The following is a 5,877-nucleotide window of genomic DNA, read 5'->3' as shown; positions in this document are numbered from 1 at the left end:
CTAAAGTCCTGGGCAGGGATCTTACTGGCTAGCTTGGTGACTGCATCGAGTCTGATAGGCTGGGTTATGTAGGTAACAAGTAGCCCACTATTTCAATGAATGAAAATAGCGAAGTTTATTTCTGACATGCAGTATGTCCACTGAGTCAGCAGGAGGGCTCTGGGCATCACAGTCACTGGGTGACCCAGTCTGACAGAGTTTCATCTCAACAGGTGTGTCCAGGATCTCAGAGACAGGGAAAGAGAACATGCTGGCCCACATGTGGGCTCCTAAGGCTTCTGTCTGAAAGTGACATTCCACCCACTTCCACCCACATTTTGTTGGTAAGAGCAACTCACATGGCCATACTTGAATTGAAGGATGGAGAAGTCAACTCCTACCGTGGGCCTGGCGTAAAGGAGACTTGAACATCTGTGAACAGCCCGGATGACTACCATAATGACACCTCACCAAGAGCCCCTGCCCACTCCATTTCACCTGGCCCATCACTGCAGGACTTCCCACTGTGCAGGTGAATGCTGCCAGGGAAGGAGGGAGAGTCCATGGAGGGTTCAGTTTCTAGCTGTTGCTATCTGGCTCCTTTTCTGTGGCAATAAATAGATAAACATTGTCATGGCAGAGATGTAGAAGTCCCGCAGGAGGCGCCCTGTGAATCCCAGAGAGTTGCCGAGCCCAGCCTCTGGGCCTCAGAGTCACAGGAGGGAAGATGTCTTCCCAGCTCAACCCTTCCCCTCCTCCAGCAGGAAAGATGCACTTTTGAGGGTGAAGGCCGGGTGGGGGTGAGGTGGGAGTGTGGCACCTTTGGCATTTTCTGCCTGAACAAAACTGCGGCCCCTGTCTGCCTTGGTGGCTGTCCCTGGCTTTGCTTTCAGAGACATCACCTCTCTGTGGTCATTTTGGAGGAAGATGTGCCTCGGGATCTGGGTTTCGAGCTCTGGCTCTGTCGCTAACGGGCTGGCTCTGTGACCTAGGCAGGTCAATGAACCCCTCCAGAGCCTCCGTTTCCTCATCTGTAAACTGGGTTATCATAATGTCTGCCTCCCTAGCGAGCTCTCTGGATTCTCGTGAGGACCGGCTGTTATGGGGGGCATCACGGCTCTTTGTCCAGGTGACACGTGGGAAATATGAGGGCTTATCTTTGTGCTGCTGTGGCCTTCTTGGGATTCTCCCTGAGGACTGGCCCTCCCCTGCCTTGCTCTTGCCCCTGGGAACGGCCCACCCTGTCTCCTGCCTCCCCACCCAGACGGGAAGCAGTCACTCTGCCAGCTCTCAAGGACTCATCTCTGAGATTTTAGACAGAATAATTTCCTCTCCCTCTCACGCCTGCCTGTCTGGGGAAATCACACAAGCCACGCAGGCCCCCCCTACGTGCACCCACATGCCCCACAGCCATTGTCTCCTGCACCAGCCAGCAGAAAAGCAGAGTGGGGCATGGGAGGAGGATGCGGAGGCTGCAGGAAGGGGGGGTGACACCCCCAACCCTGAGGGTCTCCTGGTGTCAGGCCAAGAGCTGACATGGACATGGGGAGACAGGAGCCAGGCTCCTTCCAGATCCTCCCACAACCTGGGTTTCAGCCACCCTCAGCCACCCTGCCAAGGCCGCAGGTGCTGCACAAGGCCACAGGCAAATGTCCGGCTGAGGACTGAGGTAGGGGCTGGATCCCACAGCCCATTGGTAACAGAGACTGGATGAGAACGCCCAAGTCCAGTGCTCTTTCTGCACTGCTTCCCAGAATTTCCTGCCACTAGGGACCTGCAGCCAGAAAGGATAGGGCAAGAGGTACAGAGAGAGCAGAGAGAGCCTGCTCCAAGGGAGAGCCTTGGGACACAGGGAGTCTCATTCCTCCCTCCCAGCACGGGCTACGCCCATGCCACTGAGGCCTGAGCCACAGGGCACTGCCTAGCCCTGCTTGGGCCGGGGCTCACCAGCCCTTACAGACAGCAGGCCCCACCTCCAAGACACTACCCCATGGCAGGGGAAAGCCTTGGGGTCCCCATAAAATGCAGGCATCGCCAGACAGAGAATAGGTCTTCCCAGGATGGGAAGATTTACTTAGGGAGGGGCCACCCTGGATACCCTGCCCTCCAGTAGGAGCCAGGTTCCGGAAGATCCCATGAGGGGCCAGTGTGGACCCCTCCCCTTCAACCATCCAGGCCTGCAGGTCTGGGGCTAATGGTGGGGAAAGGGGGCTCCAGCAGCAGAGGAGGGGCAGAGCCAGTGGATGGAGGCAGAAGGCGGGCAAATCTCAGGCACATTTTCTGCAGTGATAAAGACCTTTTGCTCAGCAGCTAGCTTCCACGGCACTTCTCCCCCACATGACACCACGTCAGGGCCCACAGGAGAAAGTCCGGAGTAGGCTGAGGCACTGGGTCCCCTCCCTTCTCCCAAAGACACCTGCCTACAGGGGGCACTGCCCCCTCTCAGAGACTGGGGGTGGAAGCTTAGCTGCAGGGGGTGGGATGGCTCCAGGACAGGAGAGCCATCCAAGAGAAGGCCAGGGCTCTGGGAGAAGAGGGGTCCTACTGCCCTCCCGGAACAGGGCTCCTGGCTCCGTGAAGCCATCTCCACAACTCCCACAGCTGCCTCCTCTTCCCCTCCTCAAACTCCCATGGCCACCTTCAGCTCCCGCGCCATGAGGTCTGCTCCATGACCGCAGGAGCCAGACAGAGGCCAGGGTAGCCTCGGGCAGACAGACACTTTTGTGGGTGTTCACCCAGAGCTAGACCTCAGGGAAAACAGGGGTGGCCTGGGGGCTGAGAATTCGGCAGTCCCAGCACATCCAGGACCATAAATACGCCATGCCCTTTGACCCGCTAACCCCACTGTTTGGAATTCCTCCCAAAAACATAATTGCAAAGGGAAAAATAGCTATATGTGCACAGCTGTTTATAGCAACATTATTTATCATAGTAAACAAGTCAAGTCAGCCAAAATACTTTGCAAGTTTTGGGAGGGGGAACTGTGGGTCAATAAGGTGGGATATTTATTATACTTACAAGAAAAATGGTAAACTTGTAAAATTACTCATACAATAATGTTAACAGCAGTGAGAAGACAAACTTGCACATATCTGTTCGGGCAGCAGACGATGACTGAGCACCCTGGGCTACGCAGCTGCTCCAGGTGCCAGAGAGATCCCCGTGAACAAGACCAAGTCCCCACCCTCATGGAGGGAACATTCCAGAAGTGCACCATAGGGTCAAAGGTAAATTAAAACTACAAGCAAGTACTTCCCCAAGGCAGGGAGATGGACAGAACCGAGTGTTGTCCACTGCGGGGTCCATCCTTCCTGGGCTGGGTGGGTCACCAGGGAGTGGCCCCACAGAGGTCTGCAGGCTCCTAAGGCAGGAGCCAGACCCAGGATCAAAGCAAGGGGCACCTAGCCAAGGGCAGTGGGTCCTGCCAGACCACAGGGTCTTCTCCCCACAGGAGGGAAATTTGTCAGGCTGCTTTTAGGAATCCCATGAACCTTTGGGGTTTGTGGATGAACCAGGGGAGGAGCAGTCCCCGAGATTGTGAGCTGAGTTTTCTACTAACTTAACAAGCTAGGAAGGGTCACAACTGAGGGGCTGGGGATCCATTTTGCCTCCAGCATGGCCAGATCTGCAAGCAGGAGACGTCGTATGGTGGCCTGGGAGGCAAAGGGGTCTGAGTCAGAGGTAAAGGTGTAATCTGAAGGTGGACTGTCCCCCATCCTGCCGGCTCCCTGTGGTCCAGAGAGTTGGAGAAAGCCCCTTGGACCAGAGCATTCCCACACTTGGTCCTGTGTCGGGTAGGAGATTTGCAGGAGGCCGTTTCTGCTGTTCCAGAGCCCAGATGTACTTCCCTGGGGTGCTGGGAGCCAAGGCATGGAACTGCAGTCGCCTCCCAAGTTCAGGGCCCTGGGTGGAGCTGCTGGCTGCAGCCAGGGCCAGGGAGCAGAGATGCCCCTCTGCCACCCTGCCCCACCCCAGGCAATGAAGAAACTCCAAGCTCTGGGTCCGTGGGAGGCACCCGGCAAACAGAGGAGTCGGCAAGCTAACCTTGCTATTAGCAGCGATGGAGAAGTGATGATTGTCTGCACAGCTGTCAGAAGCAGCTCCCCGCTGCCTGGCACCAGCACCTGGGGAGGGGCCGCCACTCATCGGCCTTCACAGAGATGCCCCAGGCTGGGAAAGAAAGACCAGCAGGCCGGACCTTCTGTGCCACCACTCCCTCGTCCTTAGCTGCAGGGATCTTGCCCTTCATCCAGAGACTGAGACCGGGAAGCGAGGCCCACCTCTGCACCTGCCCCCATAGCTGGGCCTTCGTTCCTCAAACTGTAAGCTGGGGATGAAAGTAATACCACCTTTTGTGGCGGAATTGTTGGGAGGGACCAGCGAGATATTTTGTCTGAAGCACCTTGCAAATGGTAAAGGGCTATGGGGTCACTGCTGTTACAATTCTTCTATCAAAAATCTAAAAATCTAATCTTCAGGGCTTTCACTGTCTGTTTCATTCACACAGAATAAAATTGAGGCTCAAGAGGTTACACGATTTGACCAAGTCACACAACTGCAAACAAGTAGGTGTCGGTATTCAGGATTGAAGCCAGGAGGAAGCTCAAAGAGCATCCAGCCCCCATGCTGTAAAAGGGATTCAAGGCCCAGAAACAGAAGGTGATTAGCCTTGCAGCAGGACAGAAGGCAGACAGCACCGAAGCCCAGCTCTGCTCACTCTGCTGGGAGCACTTCTCAGGCCACTGTGGATCTGGGCATTGTCCTCAGCTAGGGGTGGCTGCAGGAGCAGCCTGAGGAATGAACCCATGCCAGAGCACTGAAGATGGGCCCCTGCCCCGCATGCTCCCCACCCAGGTCTCTTCATCTCAAAGGGGCTCTAATAGAGACCCAGAGTGGCTGGAGGAATGCACTTTAATGGTGGAAATGTGGGTTCCAGAGTCTGCTCAAGATGGGGTCCCAGAGCAGGGAAGGAGCCTGCCCAGGCACAAGGCAGGGGCACCTTTCAAAGCTTCATGTGCTGCCTGGGGCCCTTGACAACCCAAGGCCTTCCGGATGCTTTGAACACAGTCTTCTCAGCCCTGCCGCAGCCCCACTTGACAGAAGACAGACGAACTGGGAGGTGAGAGGCACTGCCCGCCTGACCACCCACCACCCATTGCCTCTGCCTTTTGACAGCACTTACGTGGGCAGAGAGGCGGGAATGCTGATTGCACCATGTGGGAGGGACGTGGAGGGTGGGGAGGTGACTCACAGGACAGTGGGGGATAGGAAGCAGCTCCAGAGCCTCCCTGACAGTGAAAGGGAAGGGTGCCTGTGACTCAGGGACAGCTGGGGAGGGGCGGGTGGGAAGGGAGCTCATTCCTTGAACCACGGTTATCTGTACCCAGCAATGTACCCTGGGTGCCTGGGCCCCACTCTTGCCCCCATGGGGCAGTCTTTGCCCTCAGCTTGCTTCCCAGCAGTAGCCAGGCACCCAGTAGCTGCATGATGAGTGAATTCCAATCTTGCCCGCTGCTGCCCAGCTGAGCAGACCTTCGGCAGGCTGAGTGCTCCTCTGCCCTCACATCTAGGCCTATAGATGGGAGCAGAGCTGATTGCCCATCCTGCAGCTGTGAATATTACAGCTTCCAGCAGCTTCTTGCTGCAGACTTGCTGAGAGGACTGAGCACTATAGCAGGCCACCCCAGCCCCCAGGAACCCCCTCTGAGATGGCCCCCACAAATAGCGAATAAATGCCCTACTCCCAGGCCCCCTTGCTTGCAGTTCTCCTTTCACCCCTGCCCTGCACTGAGCCCCCTGACTATGGCTCCCTGATTCATTCTCACCAATACCCAGTGTCCCCAGAACGCAACACACTGGGCCCTGGCAGGGCACAGGGGAAACAGCACATTTCAGACT

The 5,877-nt window shown here is 56.4% G+C and overlaps 1 annotated feature.

Annotated features, from left to right (window-relative positions):
• Nucleotides 3,565–4,479: an enhancer, noted in NCBI's record as "H3K4me1 hESC enhancer chr2:96427757-96428671 (GRCh37/hg19 assembly coordinates)". NCBI's record gives its function as "activates a minimal SCP1, AML or CMV promoter by ChIP-STARR-seq in primed H9 embryonic stem cells {active_cell/tissue: H9 hESC(primed)}" and the evidence as "EXISTENCE:reporter gene assay evidence [ECO:0000049][PMID:30033119]".

This window comes from Homo sapiens, chromosome 2 (assembly GCF_000001405.40).
Source record: "Homo sapiens chromosome 2, GRCh38.p14 Primary Assembly".
Taxonomy (NCBI): Eukaryota; Metazoa; Chordata; class Mammalia; order Primates; family Hominidae; genus Homo; species Homo sapiens.
The sequence above is the reverse complement of the archived record's forward strand: the minus strand, read 5'-3'. Positions and strand labels throughout refer to the sequence as shown.